The following is a 14,650-nucleotide window of genomic DNA, read 5'->3' on the forward strand; positions in this document are numbered from 1 at the left end:
TGCCCCAGGAGCATTTTGACTGGCTAGACTTGTTCCAAGCCTTCTGCTCTCAGATCACTGAGCTGTTCCAGATGATGTGGGCTGCAGGGCTCCCTGGGAAAGAAGATGTGGCTTTCAGGCGGCACCCTTCTCAGATGGGTCTTGTGAAGGGAGGGACACCCAGCTCCTACATTTGTACAAGAACCTGCACCAGCATAAGAACCTAAGTCACAATCTTCTTTTTGTTCTGACACTGGGAGCTCTTCCTCCACTTGAGCTCAGGCCATAGATCTCAGCACGATACTCGTGGGCAGTGTGCTTGAGTCCCAGGGAGTTGAAACCAGGCCTGCAGATTTGTCTTCTGGCCCCTCGGGGTTAAGCACTGGCTGTGCTGGGGGTGCCAGACTGCTTCCAGGCCACCAGCAAAACACTCAGGTAGGGAAGCGCGGGGGCTGCGCTGTGGATATCCTCCTGTGGGAGTGGCCAGGCAGGAAATCTTGGGAGGGGCCAGCAGGTGAGGGGGCATTCATCCTGGTCCTGCAGCAATGGTCCTGGCCAGTAGAGAACAGGAACTGCAGAGCAAGATGGAGCGCCTTGGGGGATGGGCACCTATGGTCATGTTTTACTGCAGCTGGCATGTGGTGGCTCCGAGCAGGTTTCCCGGCTTCCTCCCTCTTCAACTATGTTGAAGGCAACTGTGTTGCCTCTCTATTGATTTTCAGTATTTTCTCTCAAAAGATCTGTTGATCATCAGCATGATGATTCACTCGATATTTTGGTTCCTCTTGGTGGGAGAGGCATTTGCTAGCTTTGTCTAGTTGGCTGTCTTCCTTCCCTCTCTGGAATTATCCTTCTAATGACTGAACTTTGGCTTTAGGAACAGTTTAGCCACTGATGCTTCCCTAAAGCCACTTATATTATTACAAATTAGGGAAATTATCAGTTAAAGCAACTGCATTGTTTATTTGTATGTTTTAACACCACTTTAGATGATCCATTTAAAAATATTAATATGAACAAAAGAGGCATTTTTATGAGACTGACTCGCTGCCTACTGTGATAAGAAGGCACTGAAAGAGGCATTTTTTAAAATAAAAATATTATGGATCCCTAATACTGAAATCAGTTCAGGAAAAGGTGATGTATTTCCATTAAATGGATAATTGTGTTCAAAGAGACAATTTAGGAATTCTTCCTCAACATTGCTATTTTTATTGCTCTGAACTTCTGAACCACAATATCATTAGAGGATTAAAGTGTGTTACAGAAATCTCATCACTTTCTGTCTGCAAATATTCTGGGAGATGTAGCTCCTACGATTCCGATATCTACCTTAGAATAGAAAACTAAGAATAACTTGGTTCTATGAAAGAGAAGAGTATTTAGCAGAAATATATCTTACCAGTAAAAATTATTTTACCAAGTTTTACTTGTCTGCCATAGGAGACTTCAGATAAGAATATAAGGCATAGTAAGTTTTCTGTACTTCAAGCAATTTAAGAAATTTGAATAGTTCCATAGAACTTGTTCAACTACTTTACCTTTTCTTTAATACAATGAGCAACTTACTGTTACTATTTCCCAAATAACCAATATATAAAGTTGTATTTTGAAAATCATATTCTAGAAGTCTTCCTGAGACTCTTCAGGTAAATGTTACTAACTATGGGATAGCTATTGAGTATGAATCCATACATCGACCACATGAGTACTATACAGTAGAGAGAGATTTGTACATTGGTTGAAAAATTTCTATATTAACCAATCATAACAAAACCACTCAACACTGGTATTCAAACATTGTGTGTCCAAATTATGAACAATGTGATTTAAATGTGAAAGAAAACACAAATGGTTATGGTTGTCCCATTGTGATTTAATGTTTACTCTATTAAAAATAATTTTGTAAATTAGTATTCATTCTATGAAAAAGTCTTAATCATAATGTTCAAATAAAAATAATTTTTAAATTTATTATCCAGTTATTTAAAGACAGACTCTTACAATGATATCTGATTTTTGCAGATCTCTTTCTTAATGGCCTCAGGTGGGCTTGTGCTAACATGAGGTATCAACAGACAAAAAGTAAAATTTTACATGTTAAAACAGAAGGAATTGACACATAAGTAGAACTTTTCTCATGGGAATCATGAGCCCAGCCTTGTAATGCTGATTAGAGAAGTGTATACCCCAGACTGCCACATGCCAGCTCCTTACTTACATACAATAACAAATGAGAAACTGGGATGAATGTACACCAAGATTTAATGAAACAAAATAATCTGTTCTCCGTACTCAGGCATAATTTATCTTTTCACAGAAAGAAATTAGGCAAATTTTACTAGATTAGGCTGATAATTACGGTTAAACCATGGCAAAATCATACCAAATACAAAAAACACCTGTATAGCAGCAAAAGAAAAAATTTTAAGCAATTCTATCATTTCTTAAAGACTACCAACACTGATAAACCCATGAGGAAAGAAACGTGAATGTGCTTTAATGTATATACAATTTACATAAGCTAATCTTTATCTTTTGTTTCCCTTATATTTAAAAAAGATTTTTATTCTAACTACATGTTGTATGGGTGAAAGTTCAAGAATCAGCATTTTGTGATATTATTTTGGTCCCAGAATTTTCATGTGACAATTATTACTTCTATGAATAAAAGATTTTAAACACAATGCATGGACTAGAGTACTTCTTAAATCGTGTGTATAAAATGCTTGTTTATGCAGTATATTCTCAAAATGACAAAAACAGCAAAAACATGGCATGAATGTCCCACATCCACAGCATTGTATGGTTTGCTGCTGAGCCTTAGAACCTCTTTCATACAACATTCCAATCAGTTCCTAGTAATCAGTTAATTGACATGTAAGATAAAAATACACTTGTCATTCTTCCAAAGGACTATAATAACAATGTTATAATTTCCAATATCAGCATGAATCATTAATTGGATTTTATAAGAGAAAATACCAATTCACAAATAATTTCAGGAACACCAACTGCATAGTTACACAGGTATTCTAATCAAGTATAAAGACACATTCTGAAGAAAGAATTTATAAACTTTATAAAACAAATTATGCTTTCTGTCTTATTTTTCATTGTGTATAAATCATTGCCAAAGTAAGAAAGGTAAGAATTTATGATTTATCATTTACATGCTAAGAATAATAAACAGGCTTTTCTAAAGGCAAACCTAAGGTTCAATGAAAATAAAGGATTTTCTAACAATTAAAGATAGCTATTAGGTGGAATGGAGGAATGGACCACCTTGCAAAGCAGCAAATGAGCTTATTATCCATGAAACTTTTATTTGAATGCAGAATGATCATCTGATTAGGATGCAGGAGTACAGAGTACAGCTCTGAGTGAGAAGTTGGATGACACGACTTCCAAAGTCACTTCCAACCTTAATATACTGTGACTCCGAGGCACTTCCAACCCTAATATACTGTGACTCTCTTACACCTTCTATTATATATACTCCAGATACATGAGCAAATATTTAAAAAATTATATTCCCAAGAAAACTTAATATTACTTACCTCTGCAACCTTGAGAAATTCAGACACTCGTGTCATTCTAGTTAGAAATCGTTTGTAAATTTCTAGAGCATCTTTACATTGTCCTTTCTTCATTTCAAAAAACTTTTCTAGAGAAGATAAAGAGATAAGCAATTTGAAAAGAGTATTATGTTCTATTTTTTTCTAAGCTTATGTTAAGATTACTACTCAAAACTTAATTAATGTTTGAATCAAAACACTTGGCAGTAAAACTTATATGAGGTATTAAGGCACCTAAACAAAGGGAACCTGAATAGATTAAGAAAAGTGTTATGTTCCAAGATAATCATCTGTCTCAAATAAAACAATTTAAATAATGAAAACAGAACTAAAGTAGAAGAATATATGAATTGCCACAACTGGCTAAATTCATGTTCCATATCCAATATCCTGTCTTGGAAAACAGCAGCAAATTCTTCCTAAGGATAATCTCAAAATTTATGACTGCATTCTACAGAATCCTTATTTTCTTATTAGCTCGCAATAAACTAATAATCTATAAATTATAAGACAATAATCAATAAACCTTCCTGAATTAAAGAATTCTTTAAGTTTTCTACACTAAGTTGATACTTGCTTTTATTGGTCATAAATTATTTCTTTCAAACATCATGATGTGGCTTTTATTTATAAAACAGTAGACTTTTGTGAAAAAATTTGTTTTACTATATTCTTCATGACTTTCTAGTCTATTTATGCTCTCTTTCTCAACCTTTAGCTTTCTAGACAGAAAAACAGAAGCTTATTTTGCTGTTCTCTTTCACACTCTCAAGACTAGAATGCTGTCATTAGGGAACTACAGCTCCATTACCCTTGCAATATGAGAGTATAATTTTTCCATACATGCTTTGAAGAAAACCAGTACTTCATCAGTGTTTTAATCAGTTATTCATTGATCATTCAGTCAATAATTATTGACACTGCAGATGGAGACACAGCAGGCCATGTCTGCCTACAGTAGTTCCCAGGCAACTCTGGTTTATACCTGATGGCCTAGCATCTTCTTTATAAGTTCATTATTTTATATTTGCACATGGTTTAAAATATGCTATTTTTTCAGTATTCTTTTTTTAATTTATATATATATTTATTATATTTTAAGTTCTAGGGTGCATATGCACAACGTGCAGGTTTGTTACATATGTATACATGTGCCATGTTGGTGTGCTGCACCCATTAACTCATCATTTACATTAGGTATATCTCCTAATGCTATCCCTCCCACCTCCCCTCACCCCACAACAGGCCCTGGTGTGTGATGTTCCCCTTCCTGTGTCCAAGTGTTCTCATTGTTCGATTCCCACCTATGAGTGAGAACATGCAGTGTTTGGTTTTCTGTCGTTGCAATAGTTTGCTGAGAATGATGGTTTCCAGCTTCATCCATGTCCCTACAAAGGACATGAACTCATCATTTTTTATCACTGCATAGTATTCCACAGTGTATATGTGCCACATTTTCTTAATCCAGTCTATCATTGTTGGACATTTGGGTTGGTTCCAAGTCTTTGCTACTGTGAACAGTGCCACCATAAACATACGTGTGCATGTGCTTTTATAGCAGCATGATTTATAATCCTTTGGGTATATACCCAGTAATGGGATGGCTGAGTCAAATGGTATTTCTAGTTCTAGATCCCTGAGGAATTGCCACACTGTCTTCCACAATGGTTGAACTAGTTTACAGTCCCATCAACAGTGTAAAAGTGTTCCTATTTCTCCACATCCTCTCCAGCACCTGTTGTTTCCTGACTTTTTAACGATCGCCATTCTAACTGGTGTAAGATGGTATCTCATTGTGGTTTTGATTTGCATTTCTTTGATGGCCAGTGATGATGAGCATTTTTTCATGTGTCTGTTGGCTGCATAAACGTCTTCTTTTGAGAAGTGTCTGTTCATATCCTTTTCCCACTTTTTGATGGTGTTTTTGTTTTTTTCTTGTAAATTTGTTTGAGTTCTTTGTAGATTCTGGATATTAGCCCTTTGTCAGATGAGTAGGTTGCAAAAATTTTCTCCCATTTTGTAGGTTGCCTATTCACTCTGATGGTAGTTTCTTTTGCTGTGCAGAAGCTCTTTAGTTTAATTAGATCCCATTTGTCAATTTTGGCTTTTGTTGCCATTGCTTTTGGTGTTTTACACATGAAGTCCTTGCCCATGCCTATGTCCTGAATGGTATTGCCTAGGTTTTCTTCTAGGGTGTTTATGGTTTTAGGTCTAACATTTAAGTCTTTAATCCATCTTGAATTAATTTTTGTATAAGGTGTAAGGAAGGGTTCCAGTTTCAGCTTTCTACATATGGCTAGCCAGTTTTCCTAGCACCATTTGTTATACAGGGAATCCTTTTCCCATTTCTTGTTTTTGTCAGGTTTGTCAAAGATCAGATAGTTGTAGATGTGTGGTATTATTTCTGAGGGCTCTGTTCTGTTCCATTGGTCTATATCTCTGTTTTGATACCGGTACCATGTTGTTTTGGTTACATATGCTATTTTAATATTGTCTCATACTTGAGAGTTATTTCATTCAGCATGTAATTTTACTACCTCAGAAGTATTTTTAATTTTCTTAAGGGAAGTTTAGTAATATATAATTACACAAAGAACTAATTATCAAGAGCAGTTACACTTCATTACCTTCTGTTGACAGTCTTTGGGTAATTTTAACTTTTTACATGGACCTCCCCTGTAGGGTATTTAAGGGAAGCAAAAAGATCAAGAAAACAGACACATACTGTTTCCTACTTGCTAGGAGTTTAGAGAAAAGACAGTCTTTTAAAAAATGACCAAATCTAAGGATACTTTCTTTATCCACTCTGTCCTGTTTTCTAATGCAATGGATAAACTCACGGTGCTATAAGACGAAAGTCTTTTCTTGTTAAGAAATTTGAAAATAAGGATTTATTCTGGCAAAACATACTTTTTGTTCTCTCTTTCTACAACAATCTTCATATAAAAAACTTCTTTCAAATATCCAAATTACTTCTCTTTAGTATAATCTGAGTTTATATCTTTGCATCTGATCTTCAGCAATAATACAAAAAGAAAAATCAAGCTGAATATCTCAATTTCCTTTTAGAACCAGTGACCAAAATTTTAACCAATTTTTTTTTCTGTCTCCTCTGGATACTTTTAAAATTGTTTGTATCCTTCATGATAATTTAGGACTCAGCAATAAAAAGCACTCGATCATTGTGGATTTAGGTCATAATCTCATAATTGTTTCTATAATAGTAGCATTGACACAGAAAGGCAACATGTTCTATTTCACTGACACAGGCACAGCTAATGAGACTCCCCTGTCCAGACCAGTGCAGGGCCTAAAAAAACTGGCACTTTTAAAGAGGGGATTGGTCATCCAAAAATGAGCCTCTACCTTTCTTTCACAGTAAAGGTAACATATGTTAACTTTCAATATTTGAAATGATCAAATTTCATGTTTGTGACATGAACCTTTGTAAAGCTGTGATAAATTACCCTTGTCATACTAGTATTAACTTTTGAAGGATAATTGTCCTAGGAAAGAAACCAAATGAAAAAAATTATCATCTCTGAGAGACAAACTGAGAGTTTCTACATAAGCTGTTACTAATGACCATTAGTCAGGGAGACAGCTTACTTACAAGTCAGAGTTTCATTATAGCAATAAAGCATTTGTGAAGATTTATAGCACCAATATTGATTCCAACATTAGGTGTAAAGTATTGGTCACGAAATCCTTGACTAAAATTAACCCACAACATATTCATAAGGTTAACTCCTAGCACTATCAGGTAAACAAATGAAAAATACACCTGCCTCAAAATTTATCAAATTAGGTGAATACGCCAAAATATGTAAATTCAAAATGCTAGTCTGAGCATCTGGGAGTGGTTCTAATACAATGATTCCCAAACTAAAGTCCCCAAACCACCAGGAACAGCATGACTTTGGCCCTTATTAGGAACGCAAATTCTCAAGCCCCACCTCAGACTTACTAATTAGAAACTCTGGGTAACAGGTTCAGCAACCTGAGCTTTAACAAGTTCTCCAGATATTCTTGAGGAAAGTCCTTGAACACTGCTTAAAGTACTTTTTCCTTGTCTTCTGCAAATGGACCTTTACCATAGTGACTATGCACAGGGTAAAGGGATATATCCTGACTTTTTTTTTTTTAGAAAAATACTTTTTTAAAGAGTAGTTTTAGGTTCACAACAAAATTAAACAGAAGTTACAGAGATTTCCCATATTATCCCTGATCCTAAACACGCACAGCCTCCCCTATTATCAACACCTCTGAAAAGAGTGCCATATTAGTTCCAAGTGATGAACCTACATTGAACATCATTATCACCCCAAGTCCATAGCATACATTACTGTTCACTCTTGGTGTTGTACATTCTATGGGTTTGGACAAATGTATAATGACATGAATCCACCATTTTAGTATCATACGGAGTATTTTCACTGTCCTAAAAATCTGGCCAGGTATGGTGGCTCATGCTTATAATCCCAGTACTGTGGGAGGCTGAGGTGGGAAGACTGCTTGAACCCAGGAGTTTGAGACCAGCTTGGGCAACATAGCAAGCCCCTATGTCTACAAAAAAAAAATTCAAAAATTAGCCAGGAGTGGTGGTGCGTGTCTGTAATCCCAGCTACTCGGGAGGCTGAGGCAGGAGGATCACTTGAGCCCAGGAGGTCAAGGCTGCAGTGAGCTGTGTTCGTGCCACTGCACTCCAGTCTGGGAGACAGAATAAGACCTCCACTAAACACCAATGATCTTTTTTACTGTCTTCATAGCTTTGCCTTTTGTAGAATGTCAGAGAGCTGAAAACATGCCTTTTCAGACTGGTTTCACTTAGTAATATGCATTTAAGATTCCTTCACGCCTTTTCATGGATTGATATTGCATTTCCTTTTAGCACGGAATAATATCTGCATATCTTTGTTGGTGAGGTATCAAAGTTTTTAGCCCATTTTTAATTGGGTTGTTTTATTATTTTTTAGTTCTAAGAGTTCTTTGTATATTTTGGACAACAGTCCTTTATCAGATGTGGTTTTTGCAAATATTGTCTTCCAGTGTGTGGCACATCTTACTCTTTTTCTTGACACTGTCTTTCATGGAGCAGAAGTTTTTAATTTTAATAAAGTCCAGCTCTTCAATTATTTCTTCCATGGATCACACCTCTGATGTTGTATCTAAAAAGTCACCATCATATCCAAGGTCATTTAGGTTTTCTCCTATGTTACCTTCCAGGATGTTTATAGTTTTGCATTTTACATTTAGGTCTGTGATCCATTTTGAGTTAATATTTGTAAAGGGTATAAGGTCTGTGTCCAGATTAATTTTTTTGGTGTATGCACGTCCAGTTGTTCCAGCACCATTTGTTCAAAAGATTATCTTTGCTCCTTTATTATAGATCAGGTTATATTAATGTGGATTGATTTCTGGGCTCTCTATTCTGTTCCACTGATCTATTTGTCTATTCTTTTGCCAATACCACAATATCTTGATTACTGTAGTATTACAGTAGGTTTTAAAGTGGGATAGGTCAGTCCTTCAACTTTGTTCTTCTTCAACAATATTGTGTTGGCTATTCTGGGTCTTTTACCTGATTAGAATCAGTTTGTCAATATCCACAGTTACTTGCTGAAATACTGAATACTATTGCAATGAATCTATAGATCATGTTGGAAAGAACTGACATATTCACAGTATTGAACCTTCTTATCCATGAACATGGAACATCTCTCCATTTATTAGTTGTTTGATTTCTTTCATAAGAGTTTTATAGTTTTCCTCATATAGATCTTAGAGACATTTTGTTAAGTTTATACCTAAGTATTTCATTTTAGGGAGTGCTGATGTTAATGGCATTGTGTTTTTAATTTCAAATTCTGCTTGTTCATTGCTAGTATATCAGAAAGCCACTGACTTTTGTACATTAACCATTTTTTCTTGCAACCTTGCTATAATTGCTTATTAGTTCCAGGAGTTTTTTTTTTTTGTCGATTCTTTTGGATTTTCTACAATAGATGGTCATATAATCTGGGAACAAAGAAGTCTTATTGCTCCATCCCAAATCTGTATACCTTTCATCTCCGTTTCTTGTCTTACTGCATTAGCTAGAACTTCCAGTAGGATGGTGAAAAGCAGTAGTGAGAGGAGACACTTTGCCTTCCTCCTGATCTTACTGGGAAAGCTTCTAGCTTTTTCACCATTAAATATGATGTTAGCTATTAAGTTTTTTGTACATATTCTTCATCAAGTTGATGAAGTTCCCCATCTATTCTTAGTTCACTGATAATTTTTGTCATGAATGGGTGTTGGATTTCATCAAATGTTTTTCTTTTATCTACTGATATGATTTTTCTCTTTTAGCTTATTGATGTGGCAGATTACATTAATTGATTTTCAAATGTTGAACCAGCTTTGCATACCTGGGTAAATCCCCTTGGTCATGGTTTATAATTCTTTTTATACATTGTTGGATTTAATTTGCTAATATTTCATCGAGGATTTTTCAACTATGTTCATGAGAGATATTGGTCTGTAATTTCCTTTTCTTTTTTAATTTTAAATAAAATCTACTGAGATGTTATTTATATATAATATATTACATTCATTTAAGGTGTAGATTTTATGTGTCTTGACAGTTATATGCAACATCAATTACTGTCACAAGCAAGGTACATGTCAGTCCATTTTCTGCTGCTATCATGGAATACCACACACCAGATAACTTGTAAAGAAAGATGTATTTGGCTCACAGTTCTTGTGGCTGGAAGTCCAAGATCAAGGGGCTGTATCTAATAAGGGCCTTCTTGCTGCATCATAACATGTCAGAAGGTATCACGTGGTGAGAGAGTGCATGCCTGACAAAAGTCACCTCTTAAAAGTTTCACCTCTTAATACTATCACAATGCCAATTAAATTCCAATATGAGTTTTGGAGGGAGCATTAAAACCACAGCAGTACAGAACATTTTTATTACTCTCAAAAAATTTCTTGTGTCCCTTTGCAGTTCATTCCTTCCTCCACTCTGAACCATGGGTAACCACTAGTCTCTTTTCTGTCACTGTAAGTTAGTTTGCATTTTCTAAAATTTTATGTAAATAGCCATACATTACACACTCTCTTTTCTTTGGCTTCTTTGAACCTAATGATTTTGAAATTCATTTATGTTATTACATAAATGTAACAGTTAATTCCTTTTTATTGTTGAATAGCATTGTATAATATGAATACATCTTTTGTTTATCTATGTACCTATTAATGAATATTTAGTTTCTTTATGGTTTTTTTTTTCTATTATGAACATTTTTGAACATTCATGTGCTAGTCCTTGTATGGATACTGGTTCTTATTTCTCTTGGGTAAGCATCCAGGATATGATCCTAGTGGGTCATAAGTTAGGTGTATGTTTCTTTTTAAGGAAAACAGTAAATGTAAAATGGTAAAATCATTTGACGTTTTACCATTTTACATTTCTATCAGATGTGTATAGGAGTTCCAGTTACTGTACATCTTCACTAATACTTGATACCATCAGTAGTTTTAATTTTAGTTGAGTCTAGTAGGTCCAAGAGGTATCTCACTGTGATTTTAGTTTACATTTCCTCAGTAACTGATGACATTGATAATTTTTATATGCTTATTAGCCATTTTATATCTTCTTTTGTAGTGTCTGTTCAAATCTTTTGTACATTATAAAAATCGAGTTGTCTTCATTACTGAGTTCTTTTATTTGTTCTTGATAGGCATCCCTAAAACATAAATACATATACTTTCTCCTCCTCTGTGACTTGTATTTTCATTCTTAATGATGTCTTTTGAGGAGCATGAGTAATTTTGATGAAGTCCAATTTGTTAACTTTCTCTTTTATAGTTCATGTTTTCTGTATTTTAATTAAGAAATCTTTGCCTAGTCCTTGTTTTCTTCTAGAAGCTTTTTAGTTTTAACTTTTATATTTAGGCCAATAATTCTTTTGATTTCACTTCTAGGCCTGCTGTGAGGCATATTATTTACTACTGAATAACAAATTACTCCAAAATTTAGCAGTTAAAGCAACAAATAAATTTCTGGTCTCACACAGCTTATAAGTCATGAATTTGGAAGTGGCTTAGCTGGATGATTCTGGCTCAGGACCTCATGAAGTTATAGTCAAACTGCTGGCCATGCCTGTAGCCCTCAGTGGTCTGGGGCCAAAGGTTCTGCTTGCAGGGTGGCTCACTCACATACCTGTTGACAGAAGGTCTCAGTTTCTTGTTGTATGGAACTCTCTACAGGCTGTCTGAGTGTCCTCACAACTTTACTGCTGGCTTTCCCTAGAGCAAATGATCTAAGCAAGAACTAGTGAGGAAGAAATCAAGGTGTCTCTTACAACTTAGTGTCAAAGCTTCACACCATTGCTTCAGCTTCATTCTATTCATTAGAAGTGTCTCTAAGTCCATCTCACATTGAAGGTGATAGGAGTTAGTTCATACCTTTTTTGTTTGTTTGTTTGTTTGTTTTTGAGGTGAAATCTCCCTTTGTTGCCCAGGCTGGAGTGCAGCAGTATAATCTTGGCTCACTGCAACCTCTGCCTCCCAGCTCAAGTGATTCTCCTGCCTTAGCCTCCCTAGTAGCTGGGACTATAGACATGAGCCACCATGCCTGGCTTTTTTTTTTTTTTCGTTATTTTTAGTAGAGATGGGGTTTCACCAGGTTGGCCAGGCTGGTCTTGAATTCCTGACCTCAAGTGATCTGCCCACCTTGGCCTCCCAAAGTGTTGGGATTACAGGCGTGAGCCACCACGCCCAGCCAATTCATACCTTTTTAGGGGATGAGTATCAAAGAATTTGTAGGTATATTTTGAACAACTAATTGAGATAAAGTTCAAAGTTCATTTCTTTCCCATGTGGATATCCAGTTGTTCTACTATAATTTGTTGAAGATTTTTTTTTTTTACCCCATAGCTGGCATTACGAGTTCTACTTTCTTTTCCAGATGAATATTATTCATGGTTATATTTCAAAAGCAAACTGAATTTTTTAAGTCAAGCCTACAGCAAAAGGTTATTAAAAATACATAAATGAAAAATTCAAATCATGGTATTAATTCTAATAATGTACTTTCTGTAGTTTGCATTTTCAATTTGCAATTGCAATAGTTAATAAAATCTTCGGACATTAATGTTGGAAGACATCTAAGACATTAGCTAATTTACCTCAGTTGTTTTATGAATATTGAAGCAGAAGGCTAGGAGACTGAATGAATGGTTCAGGACATAATACAAGATACAGGCAGATCTGAGAATATTAGCTATTTAATAGCCTGGCTTGGTAATCTAATAGTCAAATTAATTTTTTTTGAGATGGAGTCTCACTCTGTTGCCCAGGCTGGAGTGCAGTGGCACAATCTCAGCTCACTGCAACCTCCACCTCCTGGTTCAAGCAATTCTCTTGCCTCAGCCTCCTGAGTAGCTGGGATTACAGGTGCCCACCACCACACCCAGCTAATTTTTGTATTTTTAGTAGAGATGGGGTTTCACCATCTTGGCCAGGCTGGTCTCGAACCCCTGACTTCAAGTGATCCATCCCCCTTGGCATCCCAAAGTGCTGGGATTACAGGCATGAGCCATTGCGCCTGGCCACTTTCCTTTTCTTGTAATGTCTTTGGTTTTGAGGTTAAGGTAATGCTGGCCTCATAAAAGGAGTTAAGAAGAATCTTCTCTATTTCTATCTTCTGGAAGAGATTGTAAAGAATTGGTATAATTTCTCACTTAAATGCTTGGTAGAATTCACCAGTAAACCCATGTGGGCCTGATGGTTTTTGTTTTCAAAGGTTATTAATTATTGACTAAGTATCTTTAATAGATAGAGGCCTATCCAGGTTGTCTATTTCTTCTTGTATGAGTTTAGATAGACTGTATCTTTCAAGGAGTTGGTCCATTTCATTTGATTATCAAATTTGTGGGCATACAGCTGTTCATAATATTCTCTTATCTTTTTAACATCCATAAGATCTGTAGTGGTCTCCCCTCTTTAATTTCTGTTATCAGTAATTTGTGTCCTCTTTTTTTTCTTTGTCTGGCTAGAGACTTATTGATTTTATTGATCTTTTCAAAGAACCAGCTTTTGGTTTCATCATTTTTTTCTATTGATTTCCTGTTTTCAATTTCATTGATTTACGCTCTAATTCTTATTATTTATTTTCTTCCATTTACTTTGAATAATTTTCTTTTTCTTGTTTCCCAAGGTGGAAGCTTAGGTGACTGATTTTAGATCTTTCTTCTTTTCTAGTATATGCATTTGATACTACAAATTTCCGTATAAGCACTGCTTTCAATGCATCCTATACATTTTGATAAGGTGTATTTTCAGCATCATTTAGTTCAAAATATTCTTACATTTCTCTTGAGCTTTCTTCTTTGACCCATGTGTTATTTAGAAGTGTGTTTAATCTCCACCTATTCTGAGATTTTCCAGTTACTTTTGTTATTATTTTTAGTTTAATTCCATTGTGGTCTGAGAGCAGATGGTTGTATGATTCCTATTATTTTAAATTTGTCAAGATGTGTTTTATGGTTCAGATTGTGGTCTCTACTGGTGAATGTTCTATGCAAGCTTGAGAAGAATGTGCATTCTGCTCTTTTTAGGTCAAGTAGTCTATATAGATATATGTCCATTATATCTAGTTGATGGTGTTGTTGAGTTCAACTTCATCTGTACTGATTTTCTGCCTCCTGAATCTGTCCATTACTGATAGAGGAGGTTGAAGATCCAAATCTACCAGTAGACTCATCTATTTCTCCTTGCAGTTCTAGCAGTTTTTGCCACACATATTTGTTGATTGTCTGCTGTTAGGTGCATATGCATTAAGGACTGTTGCATCTGTTTGAAAAAATTGACCCCTTTATCATCTGCCATGTCTGGAAATTAATATAACTACTCTTGCTTTATTTTGATTAGTGTTAGCATGGTGTATTTTTCTCCATCTCTCTACTCTTAATTTATGTGTGTCTTTATATTTAAAGTAGATTTCCTATAGACAACATATAGTTGGGTCTTGTTTTTAGATCTACTCTGGTAATCTCTGTCTTAATTGATGCATTTAGACCATTGAGGTTAAAGTGATTTTT

The 14,650-nt window shown here is 35.4% G+C and overlaps 1 protein-coding gene across 72 annotated transcripts in view; it reads right to left on the minus strand.

Annotated features, from left to right (window-relative positions):
• Positions 1 to 14,650, minus strand: part of SNAP91 (synaptosome associated protein 91) — a 156,509-nt gene that overhangs the window by 84,672 nt on the left and 57,187 nt on the right. For all 72 annotated transcript variants that reach the window (NR_164843.1, NR_164844.1, NR_164845.1 and 69 more), the window contains one exon: positions 3,540 to 3,646. Coding sequence is in view for 68 of the 72 variants with exons in the window: in NM_001242794.2 (NP_001229723.1) it covers positions 3,540 to 3,646 (107 nt within the window). In the remaining 4 variants the exon portion in view is untranslated. The remainder of the gene's footprint in view (positions 1 to 3,539; positions 3,647 to 14,650) is intronic.

Source organism: Homo sapiens, chromosome 6, assembly GCF_000001405.40.
Source record: "Homo sapiens chromosome 6, GRCh38.p14 Primary Assembly".
NCBI classification, from domain to species: domain Eukaryota; kingdom Metazoa; phylum Chordata; class Mammalia; order Primates; family Hominidae; genus Homo; species Homo sapiens.